At 43.6% G+C, this 27,601-nt stretch overlaps 1 long non-coding RNA gene across 1 annotated transcript in view, besides 1 other annotated feature; it reads left to right on the forward strand.

Moving 5' to 3' along the window:
• Positions 1-10,754: 10,754 nt before the first annotated feature.
• The window catches only part of LOC105373013 (uncharacterized), a 30,333-nt gene continuing 13,486 nt past the window's right edge, over positions 10,755-27,601 (forward strand). Inside the window, exons 1-2 of the long non-coding RNA XR_001755610.2 lie at positions 10,755-13,478; positions 16,357-16,487. This is a non-coding gene — a long non-coding RNA (uncharacterized LOC105373013). The remainder of the gene's footprint in view (positions 13,479-16,356; positions 16,488-27,601) is intronic.
• Positions 12,270-13,469: an enhancer, noted in NCBI's record as "BRD4-independent group 4 enhancer chr22:35033073-35034272 (GRCh37/hg19 assembly coordinates)". NCBI's record gives its function as "activates an origin of replication core promoter dependent on BRD2, P300/CBP, MED14 and CDK7 cofactors, and independent of BRD4, by STARR-seq in HCT116 cells {active_cell/tissue: HCT116}" and the evidence as "EXISTENCE:reporter gene assay evidence [ECO:0000049][PMID:35650434]".

Consider the following 27,601-nt stretch of genomic DNA (forward strand, 5'->3'; position numbering starts at 1 on the left):
CCCAGCTACTCAGGAGCCTGTAGCAGGAGAATCGCTTGAACCCAGGAGGCAGAGGTTGCAGTGAGCTGAAATCGTGCTATTGCATTCCAGCCCAGGTGACATAGCAAGACTCTGTCTCCCCAACGCCCCCCCAAAAAAATAGACAAAATCCCTTGAACCTCACATTTGAGTGAAAGGAGACAGAAAGTAAATAAGTTGTTACAACGTCTATAAAGAACAGAATTTCTTTTTTTTTTTTTTTTTTTTTTGTGGTTGGTAGACATCTGATTTTAATTTTTTTATATCTGCTTTTCTGAGATTTATACATTTTACATAATAAACAAGTTTTATTTTCCTAAAGGAAAAACACACATCATTACTGGCATAGCCTTCACCCTGGTATCTGAGCGCATGTCCATTATACAACCTATCTGTGCCTAGCTATCAGAGTTGCCTTTCTTTTTTTTTTTTTTTTTTGGGGGGCGGGAAATTTTTTTTTTTTTTATTGACCATTTTTGGGTGTTTCTCGCAGAGGGGGATTTGGCAGGGTCACAGGACAATAGTGGAGGGAAGGTCAGCAGATAAACAAGTGAACAAAGGTCTCTGGTTTTCCTAGGCAGAGGACCCTGTGGCCTTCCACAGTGTTTGTGTCCCTGGGTACTTGAGATTAGGGAGTGGTGATGACTCTTATGGAGCATGCTGCCTTCAAGCATCTGTTTAACAAAGCACATCTTGCACCGCCCTTAATCCATTCAACCCTGAGTGGACACAGCACATGTTTCAGAGAGCACAGGGTTGGGGGTAAGGTCACAGATCAACAGGATCCCAAGGCAGAAGAATTTTTCTTAGTACAGAACAAAATGAAAAGTCTCCCATGTCTACTTCTTTCTACACAGACACGGCAACCATCCGATTTCTCAATCTTTTCCCCACATTTCCCCCCTTTCTATTCCACAAAACCGCCATTGTCATCCTGGCCCGTTCTCAATGAGCTGTTGGGTACACCTCCCAGACGGGGTGGCGGCCGGGCAGAGGGGCTCCTCACTTCCCAGTAGGGGCGGCCGGGCAGAGGCGCCCCTCACCTCCCAGACGGGGCGGCTGGCCGGGCGGGGGGCTGACCCCCCCACCTCCCTCCCGGACGGGATGGCTGGCTGGGCGGAGGGCTGAACCCCCACCTCCCTCCCGGACGGGGCGGTTGGCCGGGAGGGGGGCTGACCCCCCCCACCTCCCTCCCGGATGGGGCAGCTGGCCAGGTGGGGGGCTGACCCCCCCACCTCCCTCGCGGACGGGGCGGCAAGCCGGGCGGGGGACTGACCCCCCACCTCCCTCCCGGACGGGACGGCTGGCCTGGCGGGGGCTGACCCCCCACCTCCCTCCCGGACAGGGCGGCTGGCCTGGCGGGGGCTGACCCCCACCTCCCTCCCGGACGGGGTGGCTGCCGGGCGGAGACGCTCCTCACTTCTCAGACGGGGCGGCTGCCAGGCAGAGGGTCTCCTCACTTCTCAGACGGGGCGGCCGGGCAGAGATGCTCCTCACATCCCAGATGGGGCGGCAGGGCAGAGGTGCTCCCCACATCTCAGACGATGGGCGGCCGGGCAGAGACACTCCTCACTTCCTAGATGGGATGGCGGCCGGGAAGAGGCGCTCCTCACTTCCTAGATGGGATGGCAGTCGGGCAGAGACGCTCCTCACTTTCCAGACTGGGCAGCCAGGCAGAGGGGCTCCTCACATCCCAGACGATGGGTGGCCAGGCAGAGACGCTCCTCACTTCCCAGATGGGGTGGCGGCCGGGCAGAGGCTGCAATCTTGGCACTTTGGGAGGCCAAGGCAGGCGGCTGGGAGGTGGAGGTTGTAGCGAGCCGAGATCACGCCACTGCACTCCAGCCTGGGCACCATTGAGCACTGAGTGAACGAGACTCTGTCTGCAATCCCGGCACCTCGGGAGGCCGAGGCTGGCGGATCACTTGCGGTTAGGAGCTGGAGACCAGCCCGGCCAACACAGCGTGAAACTCCATCTCCACCAAAAAGATACGAAAACCAGTCAGGCGTGGCGGCGCGCGCCTGCAATCGCAGGCACTCGGCAGGCTGAGGCAGGAGAATCAGGCAGGGAGGTTGCAGTGAGCCGAGATGGCAGCAGTACAGTCCAGCTTCGGCTCGGCATCAGAGGGAGACCATGGAAAGAGCAGAAGAGAATTTCTTATTTCATCCCTGTGAAGCATTGTTAGTACCAATGAGGCACATGAGGCTGTTTAAATCACTTGCCCTGGATTATATAACCAGATTTTTGTTCAGCTGGGAACACTGGGGGGATGAAAAACAAGAGGAATATATGCATGTCTCCTGCTTCTCTAATCAGCTGAATCCAGGACCAAGGTACTTAATGTGAAAAGTTCTCAAAGAACCATTCATAATTTGTTGAATCATCTTAAAGCGTATGGGCCAAACTAGGTCATATTCAAAAATGTGGCCAAGAAACACATACCCCACAGTACCAGCCATTCCACTGGGCCCGAGACTAAAGGGTTTCCTAGGTTGTGAGACTTTCAGTGCTTAAAACAAGGACAGTTCCAGGCAAACTGGAATAAACTGGTCACTGCTGCCAAGACCCCAGGCAGATTTAATTTCTAAACGACATAGTGAGGATGGAGTGTTTTCAAAGGCAGCTAGGTAGGGAACACCTGCAAACTCAATATAAGTAGTAGAATCAAGCAGAGAAAGCAAGATGTCTGAGGAAGGCTCTACTCTGAGTCAGAGCTGTCTGTGCCTGAGTCACCTTATTTTACCAGTTTCTCTGGGATTGGCTTCAGGACAGGTGAACAATGCATAGTGATCACCTAGTTGAGCACCACATAATCATCTGAATGAATGTGGATGGTTAGTCAATAACTGTTTAAATAAATGCACCTCTTGGGCTGCCTGTTATCTGTATCAATAATCCATCCTTGAGCTCAGGCCCAACTCTTTAGGGTAACAGGCACTGCAAAATTAAGAAGAGTGATGAACTTGGCGTTAGACGTCCCAGCTCTGCTTCTCATAAGTGGGGTGCCCTTGCCAAGACACTTAATCTTTGTGAGTTTCAGATCCTCATTTGTAAAATGGAGATAAATTGTTACCCTCATCTCCCTATAATGATAATGGATTCACATGAAAATCCAATTAAACACTATGGGTGATTTTACTTTAAGGTCTGCCAAACTTTGTCCACCTCCACTTATATCCAAACCAAACTTTAGTTCTTACTTTATTTCCATAAGAGATCAGTTGCATGACTACTCCCCCTTTCTTTCATCTACCTTTACTTCTTTTTTAAAATTTTAATTTTTCCAGCCAGGTGCGGTGGCTCACACCTGTAATCCCAGCACTTTGGGAGGCCAAGGCGGGCGGATCACAGGGTCAGGAGATTGAGACCATCCTGGCTAACATGGTGAAACCCCATCTCTACTAAAAATACAAAAAATTAGTTGGTCATGGTGGTGGGCACCTGTAGTCCCAGCTACTCGGGAGGCTGAGGCAGGAGGATGGCGTGAACCCGGGAGGCAGAGCTTTCAGTGAGCCAAGATGTCACCACTGCATTCCAGCCTGGGTGACAGAGTGAGACTCTGTCTCAAAAAAAAATTATTTTTCCATAAGTTATTGGGGTACAAGTGGTATTTGGTTACATGAGTAAGTTCTTTGGTGGTGATTTGTGAGATTTTGGCGCACCCATCACCTGAAGACTATACACTGCACCATATTTGTAGTCTTTTGTCCCTCGCTCCCCTCCCATTTTTCCGCCCAAGTCCCCAAAGTCCATTACATCATTCTTATACCTTTGTGTCCTCATAGCTTAGCTCCCATATATCAGTGAGAACATACGATGTTTGATTTTCCATTTCTACCAAATACAACATGAAGCATTATCCAAGTATGACCTGCACATTCCCGGCCTCTGCCTGCAGGTGTTCTTTAAATGTAATTCTAATTTCTTTTAAGGATATACATGAATGTTATATGAAAAGCCGAATAGCTCTATAAGACTTATCATGAAAAACAGCAGTTCCTGCCCCTGCCCTGAACCTCATTCATTTCCTCCCCTAAAGGCATTTTCAACTCTTCTAGTTGTGTGTGTGTGTGTATTTTTCAGCATTAACCTTTGTATTTCAAACTATTATATCTCTTTTTCCAGGATGGTGAATTAGAGGCTTTTAGCATGTCTTAGCCACTTGGAAATTCATAAAGATAAACTCTGTGAGCTTTAATTTAAGAAGAAAAATGGGAAATCCACAAGAATTGTGAAGGACACCTCAGATCCCAGGAAGGAGAATTCAGGCAAAAAGCCCCCATGCTGGCATCAGGCGGATAAGGTGAGTGAAGCCCCAGTATGTGAAAGAGGCAGAGAGCCTCCCTCTATGACTCTTCTTTCCACTGGGGATCCAAGGCTGAGGGAGAGCCCTTTGTTGCTCCCAATCCCTGGAGCTAACTTGGGGTAGAGGCTTGGAGATGCTGTAAAGGAAAGGAGAAAAAATAATAATGTACAGAAAAAATCCTACCAACACAAAAATAATTATAAAAATCAGAAGTCTTCAGATAAGAAGGAACCAGTGTAAGAATTCCAGCACCATGAAAAATCTGAAGGTAGTGACATCACCAAAGGATCGCACTAGCTCTCCAGCAGTGGTCACTAACCAAAATGGAAATTCAGAAATAACAGATAAAGAATTTAAAACATGGATTACAAGGAAGCTCAATGAGATCCAAGACAAGGTTAAAAACCTGCACAAAGAAACTTCTAAAGCAATCCAGAAAAGGAAGACATAAACATCTTAAAAAGAAATCAATCAGGCCAGGTACAGTGGCTCACGCCTGTAATCCCAGCACTTTGGGAGGCCAAGGCAAGCAGATCATAAGGTCAGGAGTTTGAGAACAGCCTGGCCCACATGTTGAAACCCCATCTCTACTAAAAATACAAAAATTAGCCCAGCGTGATGGTGTGTGTGTGTGTAATCCCAGCTACTCAGGAGGCTGAGGCAGGAGAATTACTTGAACCCAGGAGGTGGAGGTTGCAATGAGCCAAAATTGCACAATTATACTCCAGCCTGGGCAACAAGAGCAAGACTCTGTCTCAAAAAAAAAAAAAAAAAAAAAAAAAAATGGAAAAGAAATCCATCAGAGCTTCTGGAACTGAAAAACTTAAGAAATTTCAAAATACATTTGAAAGCTTTGTCAATAGATTGGACCGAGCAGAAGAAGGAATTTCAGAGCTAGAAGACTGGTCTTTCAAACTAAACTAGTCAGTGTGGCTGGGCACAGTAGTTCATGCCTGTAATCCCAGCATTTTGGGAGGCTGATGGGGGAAGATTACTTGAGCTCATAAGTTCAAGGCCAGCCTGGACAACATGGTGAAACCCCATCTCTACAAAAAAAATACACACACACACACACACACACACACACACACACACACAAATAAATAATAGCCAGGCATGGTGGTGCGCACCTATAGTCCTAGCTACTCAGGAGGCTGAGGTGGGAGGATGGCTTGAGCTTGGGAAATGGAGGTTGCAGTGAGCCAAGATTGTGTCACTGCATTCCAGTCTGGGTGATAGAGCCAGATCTTATTTCAATTAAAAAAAATCAAGAAATATAGGATTATGTAAAGCAACTAAACCTATGAACTATTGGCATTCCTGAGAGAGATAGAGAAAAGGAAAACAAGCTGAAAATCATATTTGAGGGAATAATTAAAAAAGATGTCCCTAACCTTGCTAGAGACATAGACATCTAGATACAATAAATCCAGAGAATGCCTATGAGATACTATACAAATTGATCATTATCAAGGAATACAGTCACCAGACTGTCCAAGGTCAACACTAAAGAAAAAGTCTTAAAGGCAGCTAGAGAAAAAGTCAGATCATGTATAAAGGAAATCCCATCAGGCTAACAGCAGATTTCTCAGCAGAAATCTTACAAGCCAGGAGAGACTGTGGGCATGTTTTCACATTATTAAAGAAAAGAAATTTCAACCAAAATTTTTATATCCCACCAAACTAAGCTTCATGAGCAAGGGAGAAATACAATATTTTCCAGACAAGCAACCACTAAACGAATTCATTACCACTAGACCAACCTTACAAGAGATCCTTAATGGAGTTCTAGACATGGAAACAAAAGAACAACACCTGCTACCAAGGAAACACACTTAAGCACATAGCCCACAGACCCTGTAAAGCAGCCACACAATAGAAACTTCAGCAAGCCAACAGCTTCATGATAGGATCAAAACCTCACATATCAATATTAACCTTGAAGGTAAATGGCCTAAATACCCCACTTAAAAGGCAAAAAATGGCAAATTGGATTAAAAAAACAAGACCCATTTGTTTGCTGTTTTCAAGAGAACCATCTCACATGTAATGGCACCCACAGCCTCAAAGTAAAAAGTTGGAGTAAGATCTATCACTCAAATGGAACACAAAAAAAGAACAGGGATTGCTATTCTTATGTCAGATAAAACAAACTTTAAACTAACACAGTAAAAAAAGGAAAAAAACAGGTTACATAATGATAAAGGATTCAATTCAATAAGAAGATTTAACTATCCTGAATATATATGCACCCAACATTGCAGCACTCAGATTCATAAAACAAGTACTTCTGGACCTGCAAAAAGGCTTAAAGAGCTACACAAAAATAGTGGGGGACTTCAACACCTCACTGACAGTGTTAGATCCCTGAGGCAAAAAACTAATAAATTCTGGACTTAAATTTGATACTTGACCAATTGGACCTAGCAGACATCTACAGAATACTCCACCAATCAATCAACCACAGAATATATATATTTCCATATGTTCAGCCATAAAGCATCTCAGTACATTTTAAAAAAATCAAAATCATACCAAACATACTCTCAGACCACAGAGGAATAAAAATAGATGTCAATACCAAAAAGATCTCTCAAAACCACACAATTACATGAAAAGTAAAAACTTGCTCCTGAGTGACTTTTGGGTAAACAGTGACATTCAGGCAGAAATCAAAAACATATTTGAAATAAATGAAAGCAGAGACATAACATACCAAAATCTCTGCGATTCACCAAAGGAAGTGCCAAGAGGAAAGTTTATGGCACTAAATGGCTACCTCAGAAATTTAGAAGGATCTCAAATTAGTGATCTAATATCACACCTAGAGAAACCAGAAATACAAAATCAAACTAACCCCAAAGCTAGCAGGAGAAAGAAATAACTAAAATCAGCAGAACTAAATAAAATTGAGACGCAAAATTTTGTACAAAGAATCAGTGAAGCTAGAAGTTGGTGTTTTGAAATGATAAACAAGATCAATAGACCGCTAGCTATATTAACAAAAAAAGAGGAAGGTCTAGAGAAGCACAACCAGAAATGGCAAAAATGGCATTACAACCTATCATAGAAACGCAAAAGATTATCAGAGACTATTACGAACACATCTATGCACACAACCAGAAAATCTAGAGAAAAATGGGTAAATTCCTGGAAACACACAATGTCCCAAGATTGAATCAGGAAGCAATTGAAACCCTAAACAGATATAAAGTTCTGAATTGAATCAGTAATAAAAAAAAAAAAAAAAAAACCCAGACCATAGGAATTCACAGGCAAATCCTACAAGATACAGAAGAGCTAATACCAATCCTACTGAAACTATTCCAAAAAATCAAGGAGAAACGACTCCTCTTTAATTTATTCTTCAAAGTCAGTATCACCCTGATACCATAACCTGGCAAAGACACAGTAAAAAAAGAAAACTACAGACCAGTATCCCTGATGAATATAGACATAAATATATTCTTGACATTAGGCCTTTATCAGATGCATGGTTTGCAAATATTTTCTCCTGTTCTGTAGGTTGTCTGTTTACTCTTTTGGTAGTTTCAAGCAAAAATCAAACAAAATATTAGCAAAATGATGCCAGAAGCACATCAAGAAGTTACTTCAGCATGATCAAGTAGGCTTCATTCCAGGAATGCAAGGTTGATTCAACACATGCAAATAATTCACCACATTAACAATTAAAAACCATATTACCATCTCAATAGGTGTGGAAAGAGCTTTTGATAAAATCCAATGTGCCTTCATAATAAACCACCTCAAGAAACTAGGCATCAAAGAAACATACCTCAAAATAATAAGAGCAGTCTGTGACAAATCCACAGCTAATGAGCAAACTGGAAGCATTTTCCTTCAAAACAAGAACAAGGCATACGTGCCCACTCTCACCACTTCTATTCAACAGAGTACTGGAAGCCCTTTCCAGATCAGTCAGGCAAGAGAAAGAATTAAAAGGCATCTAAACAGAAAAGAAGGTGAACTATCTCTCTTTGCAGATGACATGATTTTATACCTAGAAAACCCTAAAGACTCTACCAAAAGCCTTCTGGAACTGATAAATGACTTTGGTAAAGTTTCAAGATAAAAATTAATGTATAAAAATCAGTAGCATTTCTGTACACTGATAACGTTCAAGCTGAGAGCCAAATCAACAACACAATCACATTTACAATAGCTGCAAAAATAAATAAATAAATAAATAATACCTTGGAATTTAACCACGGAGGTGAAAGATCTCTACAAGTAGAACTTCAGAACACTGTTGAAATAAATTATCGATGATACAAACAAGTGGAAAAATACTCCATGCCCATAGATTAGAAGAACCAACATCATTAAAATGGTCATACTGCCCAAAGTAATCTATAGATTCAGCGCTATTCTTATCAAGCTACTAATGTCATTTTTCACAGAACTAGGAAAAACTTCTAAAATTCACGGGAAACCAAAAAAGAGCCCAAACAGCTGAAGCAATTCTGAGCCAGAGCTGCTGTTGCTCACTGTTGCTCACTCAGCACCCAGAGGAAGTGGAGGACAGCCCACAGATGACCCGCCCTGCAGGAGACAAGGCACACCTTATGGTGTGGGAAAACTCCAATCACAATTATCTTTCGTCTTAAGTTCCAAAAGGACATGCATTTCTTTCTACTGTTGAAACAAACAAAAAAAGACGAGTGTACTTGCGAACAAAGGGGCAGGAAACAGGAGGCAGCAAACACTACAGGCTTTCCTTCCATGTGACAAAGGGATGATGCATCTCAGAGGTGGGAGTTCAGATCCTGAGATGCCACACTTAAGAATAATAATAGCCGGCCGGGCGCAGTGGCTCACGCCTGTAATCCCAGCACTTTGAGAGGCCAAGGCGGGCAGATCACGAGATCAGGAGATCGAGACCATCCTGGCTAACACGGTGAAACCCCGTCTCTACTAAAAATACAAAAAATTAGCTGGGCTTGGTGGCAGGCGCTTATAGTCCCAGCTACTTGGGAGGCTGAGGCAGGAGAATGGCATGAACCCGGGAGATGGAGCTTGCAGTGAGCCAAGATCGCGCCACTGCACTCCAGCCTGGGTGACAGAGCAAGACTCTGTGTCAAAAAACAAACAAAAAAACCACAAAAACATTAATAGCCACAGTCTGTGTGTCTTATCTGCTTCACTGAGAGGGAAGAAAACCATTACCCAGGAGCCTAAGGGGGTCTCAGGCTCCATGTAAGGAACTTTCTGAAGGGTCTCCATTTACATTTGATCTAAAGTTATAAGCTCGAATTTCAAACGTACAGCTCTCCATCTTGGGAAGGAAGATGATTGACTTTGATAAGCACTCCACCAGAGAGATAGACAGTGTAAGAAGCACAAGGCAGAAGGCTTGATGGATGAACTGTGGAGAGGGCAGAGCTTCATACCTTCCACCAAACGCCTCAATTAAAAAACGAGGTTGTAGGGGGATGGTTGTAAGATGTTTATATATTCAAAGATGGAGCCATAAAAGCTCAAAATGATCTGTATGATAGAAAAAGGGAAAAGAAAATGTATTTATCACCCACAATATCCCCTAGCGTGGTGCCAGACACTTCACATGGGTTATCCAGTGATCCTTCCTTTGACAGAATAGGAAACTAAGAATTTTATGTGATCAATATCCTGTAGCCAATAAAAGGAGGGCTTAGGATTCAAATTCAGGTCTGTCTGTCACCAAAGCCCATATATGCCATTGTTCTTGGAGGAATCCTTAGAAGCCTTTTCTCACTCACTCATATTGTTCTGAAAGGATGTGGATATAAGGACAATCAAAGTTCATTCTAATGTTTTTTGTTCCAGTAGAGGGGCCTGACGTGGGAAAGGTGGAACACTGGTTGGGCAGTACATCTGTATTGGTAACCATGACCCTCTTCACAGCTTCACATTCAGACACACTTTTCTTCCTGTAGAGAGAAGACCTGAGTCTCAGGTTGCCTGCTTGGGGCAGGCTGACATTGGATTTGGAAACTCTTTCCTGTGCGTGCTTCATGGAACCCAGTATTTAATGATGCCTCTGATTTGAAGATGCTGCTAATCTATTATCACTCAACATGACATTGGGTGTCTTTGTTTGTTTTATGGAAATTGGCTGCATCAGTTTGGTGTTGCCCAGCTGTCCTGGAGGAATTAAGGGAAAAAACAAAAAACAAAAAAAAAACACAATAAAACAGAGTGTTTTTCTATGTGGCAGCATTTGAGGAGATGCAGAAAGTCTTCCCAGATATTCCTTCCCTCCTCTGGCTCAGTACAATGCCTGTGTTTCCACTATGAATGTCAGAGTACTTTCAGAACTAGAAGAGCCTGTGGAGACCATCCAAACACATCTGACAGTAATGGATGAGTTCACTGAGACCCACTGGAGGGAAAGGTCTTTCTAAGACCATGCAGAGAAGTATGAGTGGCTGCTTCCATCCTTCAGCCCAGTGCTGCACACCTGCAAACCACTCACTATTTGTGTATTTATTAAGCCTTAGAGACAGCACTTTTCAAAAGAATAGAATTGGGCTGGGTGCTGTGGCTTACGCCTGTAATCCCACCACTTTAGGAGGCCGAGGTGGGCAGATCACAAGGTCAGGAGATCCTGACCATCCTGGCCAACTTGGTGAAACCCTGTCTCTACTAAAAATACAAAAAGTTAGCTGGGTGGGGTGGCGCTTGCCTGTAATCCCAGCTACTTGGGAGGCTGAGGCATGAGAATCACTTGAACCAGGGAGTAGGAGGTTGAAGTGAGCCAAGATCATTGCACCACTGCACTCCAGCCTGGCAACAAAGTGAGACGTCTCAAAAAAAAAAGCAAAAGGATAGAATTATTAGTGGGAAAGGAGGAATTTCTAGTAGAGGGCCCAGTTTATAAGCGGTCTTAGATTTTAAAAAAAATTGATGGTGTCGTTCAGGAACAGGGAGTGCTAAGTAAGCACAGGGTACTCCAAGAGGATTAATGAGATATAAGGCCAAAAAGATAGATTAGAACCACATGGTAGAGAGCCCTGAGTACCAGTGTAAGGCATTGCACTGCTGCCTCTGTCCTGTCATCTTATGGCCCCGGGCCATCCACTCAGGGTGGCATGTATGGCTTTGCTTCTCTTGAAATCTACCACCTTCTTTGAATACTACAAAGTTTATTAATCTATTCTGTTAGCACATGCTTCCTGAGTATCTACAGCATGTCAGCCACTGGTCTAGGTTCTAGAAGCCTATAGAAAATGTGGCAAACAAGGCTCTTGGCCTCATAAAACTTACATTTCCATGGGATATAGCAAAATAAACACAAATAAATCAACAACAGCATAAACCAATTGTGCCACATGCTCAGAAGAAATGAAGCACAACATTGCGACTGTAACCAAGTTGCAGGAAGTACTTTAAATGTGATGGCTAAAGAAGACTTCTCTGAGGAGGTGACATTTGAGCTGAGACCCACCCCCCCAAAAAAAAAAAAAAAATTGAGCTGGAGCTGGCGCCACAGAGGGATGGGAGAAGCTGGGCTCAGCCAAACAAAACTGCAAGTAGAAGTCTCTGGCGATAAAAGAATAAGATACAAAATTCAAAAATGACCAGGGTAAACTCAGCCACGGATAAAAAGAAATGAGAAGGTCTCATGAAGAAGTCTTTGTCATTGGACAAATTAAAAACAGGACAGATCTGAACTATGATTAAAGAACAGAGGTCTCCACCGGGCGCAGCGGCTCATGCCTGTAATCCCAGCACTTTGGGAGGTGGAAGCAGGCAGATCCTGAGGTCAGGAGATGGAGACCATCCTGGCTAACATGGTGAAACCCCGTCTCCACCAAAGATACAAAAATTAGCCAGATAGGGTGGCGAGCGCCTGTAGTCCCAGCTACGCGGGAGGCTGAGGCAGGAGAATGGCGTGAACCCGGGAGGTGGAGGTTGCAGTGAGCCGAGATTGTACCACCACACTCCAGTCTGGGTGACAGAGTGAGACTCTGTCTTAAAAAATAAGGAACAGAGGTCTCTCAATATATAGGTTAAGCTCAATGGTTCTCAAACTTGAATGAGCACAAGAATCATCCAGGAAGTCTGTTAGAAATGCACATTATTGGGCCTCATCCCAAGAAATTAAGAGCATTTTTAGACGAATACCTTAGTTAGTTTTGAAGCGTCATCCTCAGGACACATTTGGAGAACCACTGAACTAAAGACTCAAGCAGGAAGGACAGCAGTGGGCACAGGAGGGGTGGGCTGGGACGTGGTGCCAGGGAGGAGAGTGAATCAGAGGGAGGAAGTGAGGAGGCACCATCAGCTATCTGCTTCTACCTTGCCGTGACTGGCTCGTGTCTGACTTCTTTGTGCCCAGATTGGCAAGCTGAGTCATTATGACATTAGTGAATGCTAAAGAACTCGGTTCTGGGAACCCTAGAATACCTGAGGACATCAGGATGGAGAATTGTTAAGAGATGGAGGGAAATTATTGCTAATGGGAGCCCAATAATAGTCATCACACCCACAATTCCCTGCATCACATCCTCTCTGAGATTCAGGTTAGAAGACAACTCCTGCTCTCCTAGGAGGATGAGAAGTTAAACATAATGCATTTTCAACAGGCTTAAGGTCCCACTGGACCAGCAGGATGTCATTGTTGGTCTGGCGTGGGCTGCTGAGGAGTGCTTCAAAACAGGGTAAAGGCAGTGGCAAAACAATTGGCTGTGTCATTCCAAACCCATCCAAGCAAATTACACAGAAGGCAAGCAAGTGTCATTATGATTTATATAAATATATGTTGTAGATTTCATTAAGATTAAGCCAGCTTTGCAGTTATCACTTGCTGGGTTGTTTGCTTGGTCCTTAATCTTTATTTGCAACTGCCGATTAGCCTCATAAAGAACTCCTGTGGCCAGGAGCAAGCCTGAGCCTCACCTTGCTTTCTTTTCTTTAGGATTTCAGTCAAGGAGATGCCTACCTGGGGACAGAATCTGGAAAAGACCTCAAAATAGATCTTCTCAAGGCACCCGGAGGCAAACGAGGCATAGACACACTAGGATAAAAGCTGTCTTCAAGTCAGAGCCCTCCCTAGGGCTCCAGGCAGAGCAAAGGACCAGATCTCCCCCTCTGCACTCCCCACCTACAGATGAGCACCCAGGCAGGGGACACTCAAAGCAGGTGAATGAGGTAATAGTGGCTGTCAACCTTTTCATGTCAATGAAATGAATGATTGTCATTTGAGCAATCTTTCAACAATTCATTTAAATTCACTTATTAAGCTGTAGAGTGCAGGCAATCAGATGGCTCAGTGTAAAGATGAAAAAAAAAAATAAGAATACTACAATTCCTTGCCCTAAAGGAATTAACTCTGGTTTAGAGATGGGCTCATAAACATGATCTCAGGTTGGGAGAAGAAGGATGAAGAAATCATAATAGTGCAGCACATAGCTGAGGGATTTGGGGTTTTATAAAGCAAGCTGGAATTTTTCAAGTCTTCTAGAAACACCATCTTTTGTTTGTCCAAATAAGATCTTATGCAAAAACTCACGCAACTGCTGGAGTGATCTTTCTAAAATGTCAGTCTGACCACATCGCTCCTTGGCTCAGAGCAAAGATCTGCAAACTTTCTATAAAGAGCCAGTAGATATATATGTTAGATTTTATAGACCAGACAGCCTCCGTCACAACTACACAACTCTGCCCTTGTAGTGCTAATGAGGTCAGACACAGTAAGTAAATGAACGTTTGTGGCTGTCTTCCAATAAAATTGTGTTTGCAAGATTTGGACCATGGTCCATAGTTTACCTCTGACCTAGAGTCACTCAGAGGTTCCCATTCCCTTAGCATGGGACCCCGCACTTTTCACAATGGGAACTCCAGCACCCAATTGACCACTCTGTCCCTCCCCGTCCCTCCCCATCCCTCCCCATCCCCCCCCATCCCCTCTCTCTGCATCCTCTGATCCAGCCACATAGAACTTTTCTCTGTAACCTGAAAACACCATGGTCCTTCACAACATGATGTCTTCATGCATGCTGTTCACACTTTCTGAATTGTCTCTACTTTGTCAATGAAATTCCTATTTGTTCATGTTCTAGCACGTATGTCCCCCGTCTTGTTATTATTTTTGCAACATTTGACTACTTGGAAAAACTGATTATTTTCATGTCCATCTATCGAAGCAGAGTCTGAGTTTCTCAAAAGTAGGGTCCATGCATTTATTCCTTCCTGGATCCAAGCTCCCAGCACTAAGAAATATTTAATGGATGAAATACACTACAATAAATGGAGGGCACTAAACTAGAGAAAAACACACTGTATCCCTGTGTCTTGTTCAATCAGAAGTGTCAAGGTCTATTTCCAAACTTCTGAGCCTGAAAAATTCTCTCTAGAGAGCCTCCCTCTTTCCAGATTTTTCTTCCTTTTATTTCTCGTTCGAATTCTTCTTTCATTTTTTTCTTTCTCTATTATACTCTAACGTCTCACACAATGAGTACAGAAAAGTGAAGGACCATTCCATTACTTTTATCTAGTAACTAGAAATTTTGCCTAAAGTTACTTATTCGACACACATTTTTGAGTACCTTCCATATATTTAGGATACACCTGTAAACAAGGGAGTTGTACCCTAACCTCTCAAGAAGCCCGGAGTTTACTGGTAGAGAAAGGAAATGAACAGGTGATTAAACTACAGATTGGTAAATGTTACAGTAGAAAGCAGGGTCAGTGGAAGCAGGTTATTCAACCCCAAACCTGGGAAGGCAGGAGGTAGGAAGTCAGATAATTCTTACTTGATTAAGTGATATCTGAGGCAAGGCGTGGAGTTGTCATATTAGGTAGGAGTTAGCCAGGTAAGTGGGGCAAAGAACATGCCAGGAGGAGGAACAGGAAAAGCAAAGTCCTGAGAGTGAGAAAGAGGCATGAACTCAGGGAACAGAGAGTAATTTAGCCTCAGGCAAAGTTGTACTGTGCTCAGCATTTGCGGCAAGTTTCACGGGAGCTGACATCACTATCCCAGGGGTGGAACCTAGACAGTGAGACCCCCAGCAGACGTCTCAGGAAGAAGCAATAGTTGGAGTCACTCAAGTAGAAGCAATATAATTCCAGCCAGCTTAGATGAGGGCAGAGCTGAGCTACAACTCAGCTCCTAAGCCAAGAGCCGACAGTTTATGCATTCTAAAAATATGACTGAGCCACTGTGATGCAGGGGGAGATACAATGATCGGACAGACAGACATGAGCAAACAGGTTTCCAGAAGCCCATCAATCAGGCTGAGGACTCGGGGGCAGGAGTAGCTGGGATCAGAGGTGCCCACCACCACGCCCGGCTAATTTTTTGTATTTTTAGTAGAGACGGGGTTTCACCATGTTAGCCAGGATTGTCTCGGTCTCCTGACCTCGTGATCCACCTTCCTTGGCCTCCCAAAGTGCTGGGATTACAGGTGTGAGCCACCGAGCCCGGCCAGGATTGAGTTTTATACCAGCAGAGGCACTGAAGGGTCTTTCAGAAACTAAGAAGGAGAAAAGCAGAGAACAGGAAGACGTCAACTGTGAGAATCAGGGGAGAGAGCTCTACTCCCAGGTGCTGCTCACGGGTCCATTGGGGTTCATCAGTATTCTATTCTGCCTGGCTTAGATACCACTGGCTCAGTATTGCAGAGCATCGTGGCTGATGTTATCTGTATCTAGAGTCAAATATCCCTGAGAGTATAACAGCTTGCTTGGCCCGGTTGAGGAACTCCAAGCCCCCAGACTTTCTAGAAAGTGGCCATCATTAGGATTGATTTTGCCAGTAATTTGATGCAGGGCCTCCATTTCATCCGTTGAAATAAAAAAAAACACCACAGCCCTGTGGTTTTCTCTAAGATTCATTTTAGCTTCCTTCTATAACCTTCATTAATCTCTCCAGGAACACCTTGCAGAGTCTCGTTCTAAGCCTTTAGGGCTCTGGGGTTAGAGTTAACTCTTAATTGAGCCTCCTCTTACCAAGAACAAACAACACAGGCTGTCTACCAGGCAGGATTTACATACTCAGACTTACACCTTCTCTTCTCCTCCATTCAAGACAGGGGGGGCATGCAGAAGCCTTGATCTCCGAGTGGTCTGTGGCCGTGAGGTGGAGAGATACAACTGCTTTGTCGAGGACCCAAGGGAAAACCGAGCCGTGGCTGTCTGAGTCTTATCAAAGGAAAAACGGTAACAGTACTTTTATTTTCTTTTAATGAGTAATGTAGGGGAAAAAACTTGTAAGTAAGAATTCGAAACTAAATTTGCCAAATATGCTGAGAGTTGATCCTTGGAGAAACTTTATCTTTACTGCATAGTCAAACACATCAACTTTGGGGGCACCTGGCAATTACTATGTGGCATAGATTCAATTTGTTCTTGTGTAGACAATATTATCTGGCACAGGGAACAGGAAACCTCCACACATATTTTAGTAAACACAATCCCAGATCGTGAGGAAGGGTTTCTGGGGGCTCCTCATCGACACAGCCAGCATCCTGTTTTGCTTTGCAGCCAGTGAAGAGGCAGGGCCCATCCAAATCTCCCAGTTGTGGGGGCTCGTTGAGCAGCCTGGGAAGGGCTGAAACAGAGACAGCAGACATCCTCTGATGTCTGAAGGTGATTAAAAGCAAAAGAGGAGATCTCTGGTAGTCTATTCTTTTTTCTCTGATAGATTGGTGATTCTCAAAATTTGGGGGAGGGGGACAATTTGTGGGAAAGCCTGTAATGTATTTGTATGGCTTATCCATAAAGACCATAAAGCCAGTCTTGAGCAAAATTCTTGTTATTTCAGGGAATAATTTTACTGCCTTGCATGTATAAAGACATACCTTATCACTTATCCAAAACTATGATAATTCCATTTGGAAGAATAATGTGGCATAGTCATGGTGCCTTTGCCAATTTCAGGTGAATGTCAAATACTAGTAATGGGTGAATATGTGGCTCTTCAGTCCTGTTGAGAGATAAAGGTGGGCAGAGTCAGGGTGGGGGCACTACTGGTCCTTTCACTATCTGAGTTCACTATACCTTTGACAGGTGCCAAGTACTGAGTATTGGCATAATGAAGGCAACTTCATTTGCCAAGTTATGCCTTCAATAGACTCTTCATTCCAGGTGACTATAGGACTCATTTAAGTACTGCTTTACCAGTGGGTGCTCTAGGCTACTAGTTTTCTATTCTCTAATAGTAACCAGGGATTCACCGCCTTCGACTCAGCCAGATTACATAACCTATACCAGGTTTTTATCCTAGAGAGTCTAATGCCTATAACCATTTCTGGTACTAAATATTGTACCCATTTAAGGTTTAGTTATAGATAATAGGACTGTTCCTTTAACAGTTTTTGAGAATTAACATGGGGAATTTTTGGAGGAGCTTGAGGAGCAGGCTGCAGAATTAACCTCCAAGAATGATTTCTAGAATAGCACTGTGGGATTGGCTACCAGAGGAAGGACCTTCTACCATAAGAAGAATGCTGGTGGTCAGGAAGGACTACGGAGACTCTTGTTTCCAGGGTCACATTGAGGCTGAATGGTCAATACCAGCAACAGAATATCTCTTAGGTTAAAATCTTCCCTGCCACTTTGGGAGGCCGAGGCGGGTGGATCACAAGGTCGGGAGATTGAGACCATCCTGGCTAACACAGTGAAACTTCATTTCTACTAAAAATAAAAAAAAACTAGCCGGGCATGGTGGCACATACCTGTAGTCCCAACTACTCGGGAGGCTGAGGCAGGAGAATCTCTTGAACCCAGGAGGCAGAGGTTGCAGTGAGCCAAGATCACGCCATTGCATTCCAGCGTAGGTGACAGAGCAAGACTCCATCTCAAAACAAACAAACAAAAACAAAACAAAACAAAAAAAACAACCTTCCCTGCGTAACTTAGGCCTGATTCAAATATTGCTAAGTGTGTCTAATTATAAAATCAAGATCACATCCAAATCTTTAGCTGCAGAGGAATCTAGAAAATACTGTTTTCAGTTTTCCAATGCCTTCAGCACAAAAGAAAGAATACTTAAAGGAGGTTGCCAGCAGATGTGGAGGGAGCCAGGCTACAGTATTCACTCCTCCACCACCCCGAGTTCCATCCAAGTTCCCAAATTATGAATTAATCAGCCAAGTATTTGTTGCAGTGCTACTGCACACAAAGTACCTTGGCGGTACAGGGTTGTATGAGGTGTGTCTAAAGTATGATGTTCGTTGATTTCACAAACTAAGCCAAATTAATGGGCTGGAATGAATATCTCCCTTCAAAGGGGAACCCTGTGCAGATCTTACATGGGACAGTCTGGCCTCAGACCTTTTCTGGACTCCCTTTGGAGGGCTTAATGAGCATATACACATATGTACCCTCGAAATCAGGTTCATGGTTTTAAAACCATACTTGTCAGAACAGTATCTCATGTTGACAATGTGCCAGGCCCTGTGGTATGTTGTTTACAAGCGTTACATTACTTCAATTGCATGACAAATTGCACTGTGAAGTAGGTGCTATTCTCATTTCTCTTTTAATGAAAGAAAGAAAAGCTCAGAAAAGTTAAGTGACTTTTGCAAAGTCTCACGTGTTCTAAGTGTGCAGCAGGAGAAGGGAACTGAAGGCTCTGTGGCTTCAAAGGCCATTCTCTTCCCATAACATTAACATTCCTTTCCTTAACTAAGAGAATGGAGTTTTCCTTCCAGCCTGAGAGCCTACCATATCTCTTGAGCTTGTATCTCAGGGATGTTCTACTGTTTCCATGAAGGGCAGCCTCTCAGTGCAAAAAGACGTCTCTGAGTTGGTTACTGTTCCTGAATAAATCCAAGTGAATATGCTCTTAGATCTTCAGCCAGTCCTAAGGAGAGAGAGGAAGAATGTTGTGAATCATGGATTTATTAGTTTAATATTCCCAAAGCTTCGCCAAGTGGCTCTCTGAGAAAGGGATAGTCATCAACTAAGTATAACAAGAATAGGATGTATAATCAATAATCATCGAGATGTATAAGGTGAAGTGTGTTTACTTAGATTTAAACATGTCACTTCATTATTGTATCTACGTAATATTTGGCTTCCATTCTCATGTGATACCTAATTTCTTCCTTCTTTCACTTTCTTTCTGATACAATGTAATACTGAGGTTGAATATGTGAGCTCAGTGTAGTTTTGATCCCTGGCTCAGTCACTTACTAAATATGGAACTTGAGCTAATTACTTAATCCCTTCTTAAGTCTCATTTTTCCTCTAAGTAAAATAATGATGATAATGGTACCTACCTCACAAGGTTATTCATAGAGTTGTTGAATGGATTAAATCTGATCATTTGAAAAAGGCATTAACATACTCTTTGGTACATAGTAAACACTAAATAAATGTGAGATATTATTTTTTTCTTTTTTGATACAGAGTCTCGCTCTGTCACACAGGCTGAAGTGCAGTGGTGTGATCTCAGCTCACTACAACCTCTGCCTCCTGGGTTCAAGCGATTCTCCTGCCTTAGTCTACCAAGTAGCTGGGATTACTGGCACGCACCACCACACCCAGCTAGTTTTTGAATTTTTAGTAGAGACAGGGTTTCACCATGTTGACCAGGCTGGTCTCGAACTCCTGACCTCAGATGATCTGCCTGCCTCGGCCTCCCAAAGTGTTAGGATTACAGGCATGAACCACTGCGCCCGGCCAGAATTTACTTTTTATTTTTCATGTACAAAACTCTGCTCTAGGCACCCTAAAGATTCTTACCTTCACTAATTCAACAAACATTTACTGAATGCTGGAGATTATAAAGGATTCCAATGTGGTTTCAGCCTCTAGGAGCTCAATGTGTGGCAGAGGAAACAGATCAGTGAACAAATCAATGGAGTTAAAAGTCTATGGTATCTAGTTGTGGTACACACTCTCCAGGATAGAGTGCAAGCATGAGAGTGAGTGGTAGTTCTACCTAGCTGTTATGTCTGGGGAGGCTTCAAAAAGATGATGTTTGAGATTAGTCTAGAAAGATGGTTCCAGAGGGTAGAAAGAAAGGGAATTCCATGGAGACACAAACAAAAAAGCAAGAATGAAAGCAAGCTGACAGGAAGGGAACCATAGGTATTGTGATGGGACAAAACTCACACAAGGGGTGGGAGGCAGACGGATCTAGAGTCTGGGGGGAGGTTGCCATAAGTAGTCACAAGCAATGTCAGCAAACATTGCTCTAAACTATATAAATCCCAGTGCTCCCAGTGGCCCAGTCCCTGAACAAAGTCACATTTAAGAAAAAGTTTCATTGTCAGGAGGGAATTAATGACAATCAAATCTTCCCCGGCCATCATACTTAAAAATGTCAGAGGGTAGAAATACAGTCAATGCCAAGAACTCCTAATATGTAGGTTTGCATCTCTCTTCCCAAATCTTACACTCATAACAACTGTAGAACGTGTCTCCCTTCTCTCCGCTCCACAAGTCCCACGTGCAGTTTCTTCATTGCCATGCCCCTCTTTGGTCCATCCCAGCCACAGCCACGCGCTAAGTGCCTGCTTTGCTCCCACCTGCTGGCCAGTCCAAGGGAAGCCAACAGGGAATTCTCAACCATGTTGCCCTACAAGACAGCATAGCCAGGGCATTCATTTGCTGGTAGACCCCACATGGTTTTAAGAAAAGGAGGCTATCTCTAGCTCAGTGACTCCTGGAAAGCCTCAGGCACCAGGTGATACCTGAGTTGGGACTGTGCCATCTGAGAAGTCCCAGATGGAAATTGGACAGACAGAAAATAAGAAAAAAGCCATGTTGAGGAAGAAAGAAAGGAGCGAATGGAGCCAACGCTGGTGTAGGATCTCTATGCATTGGGAAGAGTTGTACTCACTTTGCCCTCTGCACACCTGGGATGCAGGTTTTCTGAGACACCACAGCATTTTGGAAGTAGAAGAGACCTTAGATATTCCGTCGTCCAGCCCTTTGGCTTTAGAGATGAAATTTGGGACCAGAGAGAAAAAGAACATAGACATTTTTGTCTAAAATTCAAACATTTACTTCACTTCTTCAATCAAAATTACAAATTAGATTCATCGTCCCCAGGAAACTGTGATGTTTCTTGTCATGAGTATGAACATAGAGTCACAAAATGTATGAAAGAGGTGGGTATGTATTTGTATGTTCCTTTTAAAAAGGATGTCCTCCTTGGGATATGTCCTCCAGGATTAATTTTAGCAAGGATGGAAGTGGGAGAAAGGCAGTATGGGGTGAGCATTTTCAGGGGTGGTACTAATTTGAATTCTCCCTGGGCTTTGCCACTCACAAGTGGAGTATGATATTGGTCAGTTCCTTAGTCTCCTTGAGCCTCAGTTTCCCTGTCTTGTAAAATGAAGTGTGTGATTGCACCTTGCTCTCTGTGTTGTCAGGATCATTTGAGATAATGAACATAAAGCCCTTATCAAAGGGACAGGCAGGAAGTCACTGCTAAATTGGTGGTAGCTAATATTATTAGTGCTGTTGAACAAACAAATTCTGCAGGCACCTTGCAGCAGACATTCTAATATGTTCAGCATCCATTTCAATCGTATTTATTGTGTTTCCCTTGTCCTCTGGGCCATGGTCCATATTTACAAGCAAGGTGCTTTGTTGGCAATATCAGCATTGATTGTAGGACGACCTGGGGGCCTTCAAACTGTCCCTTCCTCAAGATGGCCATGCCAGTCAACCCTCAGGGGAATAGATAGCAGGGCTCTGCCAATTGCACTTGGCATGGAGCATGTGGTCAGCAGGATGAGCACAGCCTCCATCCTGGCTGGGAAAGGTGAGCCGGCAGATGCTGATTCCAACACAGATGTTGCCCAGGAGAGTGGCAGCCGCTGGTGTCAGGAATTGCTAATTGTGTTGCCTCCTGGCACAGCATTCACACACAGCCCTAGAATGGCTCTTGCATTGGAAAAGGATTCTTTCTGCCTCTCGTTTTGTGGCAACTTCCTTCTCAGGGACAAAGCCTGGCGCTGTTACAAGATTTGGTTTACAGAAAAAGGCCCTTGTACTGTGCCCAGTTTTCCAGATGGGCTCCTCTTTAAACTAAAAAAAAAAAAAAAAAAATTGATTTGGCCAAGTTCACCTGGTGAACCCAGACGCGCAGTAGGGCTAGTCCTCCCATTTGAATGCCACCTTTTTAAATTAAACTTTCTCTCTTAAAGGCAAGACACACTGATTAGTTAGTTTCCTGCCCAAAAAACTTACAAAACACATACACATCCTATAATATAACACATTTATTATAATAGTTCTCCCTCCCTATTTCAAGCACTGCAGTATTTCACCATGGAAAGGATCTGGCCTTTGCTATCAAAACTCTTGATTCTGAATTCTGGGTCTGCCACACCAGACCTTTGTGACTTTGGACAAGAGTTCTGTCCTTGAGGCTCAGTCACCTTGTGTATAATATGTGGATAAGACAACCTACCCTCTCCATCTTGCAAAGAATAAAGGAGAAGAGTTATGTAAATTACTTAATATTGGGTGCCTGGAGCATGGTAAATGCTCATTAAATGCCCCTCTATTATTTCTTGTAACTAGTTGCAGAACAAATAAAGTCACATCTCTCTTAATAATGTAATTAATTTCTCAAGCTTTTCATATGACCAAATTACCCAGAAGCCCAGAAGTTCTTACTGGGGACCTCTCTATTGCTCCTGAATTGTCCGAGAATGCTTAATCAGCATGAAGGAGGCAGTCTGCTCTAAATGCTTCACAGAGAGCTGGAGAATCAGTCAGCAGGTGGGCCCCATTTTTTGCTGTTGCTTCATACAGGGTTGACATTGAAACCTAGGCCTGCATTGGCCATGGGGCCCATCTACTGCTGCAGAGATGGCAGTGCTAGTTCAGCAGTTTTTCCAGGATGTAAAATGAATGGCAAGGCATTCTTCATCCCGACGGCAACATACGTCTGTAGTGCAGAATGCTACTGTGGGCCCATTTTCCAGGTACAGCAATGCTTTAACTATAGGTGTTAATACAGGTTTTTGTGTGGGCTGGAGTTGGTTAGTGTTAATTGAGCCAGGGAAAACACACACACACACACACACACACACACACACACACCCTTGTACCTAGAGGATAGGCCCACAATAGCATCCTGGACTACGGATGTGCATTCCACTGTAGATATATAAATATATCACACATTGAAATACACATGGCTGGGCATGGTGGCTCACGCCTGTAATCCCAGCACTTTGGAAGGCTGAGGTGGGTGGAACATGAGTTCAAGAAATCTATATCATCCTGGCCAACATGGTGAAACCCCGTCTCTACTAAAAATACAAAATTAGCTGGGCATGGTGGTGCATGCCTGTAATCCTAGCTACTCAGGAGGGTGAGGCTGGAGAATCGCTAGAACCCGGGAGGCGGAGGTTGCGGTGAGCCTAGATAGCTCCATTGCACTTCAGCCTGGGCAATAAGAGCAAAACTCTGTCTCAAAATAAATAAAAGAAATGCACACACAAACATACACACCCATAGCAATCACTAGGCATGGGTGCATGGATTATCTCATTTAATTTTCGCAACTGCTGTCTTAGTCTGCTAGGGCTTCCATAATAAAATATCATGAAAGAGAGAGAGAGGGAGATCTTTCTCTGATGCCCGCTTATAAGGACACCAGTCTCATCATGAATGCCCAACCCCCATGACCTCATCTAATCCTAATTACCTTCCAAAGGTCTCATCTCCAAATACCATCACATTGTGGGTTAGGTTGAAATTTGGTGGAGACACAAACATCCAGTTCATGATAGCCACGCTATGAGTTAGCTACTAGCATTTTTCTTATTTTATATATGAGGAAACAGGCATAAAGAGGTGAAGTAACTTACAGTCACTTGAACTGGTAAGAAGCAGATTTGGGCTATTTATGTTGTGAATAGAAGCAGTTAGAATCTGTATTTGCAGTTCTTATTTATTTTATTAGTTCTTACATGAACTTGGGTTTTTTAGATTACAGCTTTTTGCTTGCTACTCTCATGCTCAGCGTGCATCTGCCTGCATGGTTGAGTGAGGGGTGGGCAGTGTCTTCACCAGAATGCACCACTCTATGACAATTTATACTGGGGCGTCAGATGGCCATGCAGGTCTTCCCTCTTCCCGGTGAACCACCAGAGGCAGTTTTGTCTTCCCTCCTGCCAACACACCTCAGCCAAGAGAGTTTTGTTTTATCAGAGAGGTTCTAATAACTCTCAAGCTTTTTTGTTGTTGTTGAGACGGAGTTTCAATCTTGTCATTCGGGCTGGAGTGCAATGGCGTGATCTCGGCTCACCACAACCTCCGCCTCCTGGGTTCAAGTGATTCTTCTGCCTTAGCCTCCTGAGTAGCTGGGATGACAGGTGCCTGCTACCAGGCCTGGCTAATTTTTTGTATTTTTAATAGAGATGGAGTTTCATCATGTTGGCCAGGCTGGTCTTGAACTCCCGACCTCAGGTGACCTGCCTGCCTCAGCCTCCCAAAGTGCCGAGATTACAGGCATGAGCCACTGCACCTGGCAACTCTGAAACTTAAAAGCAACAGGCTCCAAATAAGTGCTGGCCCCTTTGCAGCTCTTAGGCTTCTCAGCCTCCACACAAATGTGCTCTTTTGTCATCCAGTGGCCAGTCTGTTTACTGCCACTGACGCTGCTCCTTGCTCCTTGTCCTTAAGCCTTATCCCTGACTAGAGCTCAAACTCATTAGTGCCCAAGGCCTGGGCCAGGAGAGGATAATAGCATGAGGTTTAAAGACTCCAAACACTTACAGGGGTGAAGTGTGCAGATTCTGATGCCAGATGCTCTGTGTTCTAATCCTGGCACCTCTTGTGCAACTTTCGGCAATTTACTGGACTTCCTGTGCCTCCATCCCAATGTCTGAAAACTGGAGATCCCAATAGTAACTCATAAGGTTTTTTGAGAGGGTTAAATGATATGATACACACAAAGCACTGAGAACAATATTTGGCATACATAAAGCGCACCATAAATGTGACCTATTATAAATATGAATCTTAGATGTACCACTGCTTACCTACATGACGGAGGGCATTTCATTCAGCTTCTCCAGCTTTGGTTTCTTCATATGTAAAATGCAACAGATGGAAATAAAAACCATATTAAGGCTCCAGGAGATCTGGTTTCTAGTTCCAATCTGTCACTAGTCAGCTCTGGATATTAGCAAGTAATTCTGTCTCATTGTGCCTCAGTGTTTGCCTATAAAATGAGAACAGAATCAGATCATCTGTAAAATCCTGTTATCCTAAAGATATGTTTCTGCTATCTTAGTATATTGCTGGGTGCAAGGTAAGTGTTCAATACCAATGATCCTGTAAATCCATAACATGTTTTTATTGTTCATATATAATTATGATTATTTCATGGGGTTGTACTGAATGGGAATATGTAAAGTTTCATTTGTTATTTACAACAATCCTATGAGAGAGTAATATTGACGAAGCCAGCTGTATTAGTCTGTTCTCCAATTGCTATAAAGAAATATGTGAGCCAGGGTAATTCATAAAGAAAAGATGTTTAATTGGCTCATGGTTCTGCAGGCTGTACAGAAAGCATGATGCTGGCATCTACTTGGCTTCCAGGAAGGCCTCAGGAAACTTACAATTACGACGAAGGCGAACAGGGAGCAGGCACTTTGCTTGGCCAGAGCAGGAGCAAGGCAGAGAAGAGGGGAGGTGCTACATACTTTAGAATGTCCAGATCTCATGAGGCCTCACTATTGCAAGGAAATTGCCAAGGGGAATGGTGCTAGATTATTCATGAGAAACTGCCCCCACGATCCAACCGTTTTTCACCAGGCCTCACTACTAATATTGGGGATTACAATGTGATTTGAAATTTGGGTAGGGACACACATCCAAACTATATCATGTAGCTAACATGGTTTCAGGGCTTACTGTATTTCGTATAAATTCCTCCCATGCTCTGCTTCATTCAGTCTCCACAATAGTGCTCTGAATTAGGTATTATCCTTATTCCCATTGTTCAGATGAGAAAGTAGAGGCTTGGAGGTTTAAGTAATATGTTTTGTGTTACTTTGGTGGAGCTGGAGCTGAAGAATAGGGCATAAGATGACTGCTCCATAGACAGGCAGTTATTAATAAACCCACCTGACAGAGAGAGACTCTGAAGCTCGGTCAGGAAATAATAGGTCCAAATTCACTTACAAGTGAGCAACAAGGTCAAAACCAGAATCCAGGCTTTCTCTTCCCTCATCTGGAGTGTGCTCCACTGTGCAGCCTCTCAAGCCCTCTTGCTTGTGGAATAAATGAATACAAATTAATGCTGAATTTGTATTCATTTCCAGCTAACTGGCAGATTTACACTAACCAGCAGATTTACACTTTCTCCGCAGCACACCTTCAACAAACACATCCTCATGCATACTCTTTTCAGTCTTTGGGGATCTGTCTTCTCTCTCTGACTCACTCCCTGGCCCTGGCAAACTAAAGTCGTAGCCCTGTCTGTGAGCATGTCGGTACCAGACCCCAACAAAGGCTACGGTAAGCACTGAGAAACAGGGGCAGATCGTACTGCTTTACTTGGTAGTGAAATCAAAGACGGAGGTCCCCAAGTGCAGATGACAGAAGTTCCCAAGACAAAATGAGCCACAGGAATTCGGAGGGCTGGCAGCAGATGTGAGAGGTTTTGGAAGAAATTACCCAGGCTAATTAAATGTGAAATAATACATAAAGGGAGCAAGAAAGTCCTGTGTTCCCTCTCTTTAATGTGCCTACATTCACAGGGCATCTGTCATTTTGGTACCAAGTCTCAGAAAACAGCCTCAAAGGAGAAATCCAGGTAAGAAGTTCCACTCTGCTTGAAATAGAGAACAAAGATATTACCAGAAGAATTAATGAGTACATTAATGAAAGATAAGTAATAGTGCAGAAGGGCCAAATACAAGGCTTAGCCCAAGGAATGAGTTTGATAAATGTTTGTTGAATGAATTCTTCTATTCCTTTAGTCACTTAGGTCCAACATAGCTGCCATAATGCCAGGTTAAGTGATAGAATTTACAATGAAACAAGTCTGAATCCACACCTTCGGACTGCTGCTCACTAGTTCCGTCAATCTAGAAGGGTTGCTATCTACTCTAACCCTGTTTCTTATGTATACATTTATTTATAGCATTTTCTTGAAAATTAAGTGAACCTAAAAAAATAATTCCGTGATCACCACATTTATTGTGACAGATCTAAGCATTTGATGATACGAAGGCCACTCAGAGAGTTTCTCCGAATTGCACCATTCATGCGTTCCTTCAACAAGCCTGTTTTGTTGGAGGAGCTGATCTGATCTTCCCCTCAGACTGAAAGGAGCATGCGAG

This window comes from Homo sapiens, chromosome 22 (genome assembly GCF_000001405.40).
Source record: "Homo sapiens chromosome 22, GRCh38.p14 Primary Assembly".
Taxonomy (NCBI): Eukaryota; Metazoa; Chordata; class Mammalia; order Primates; family Hominidae; genus Homo; species Homo sapiens.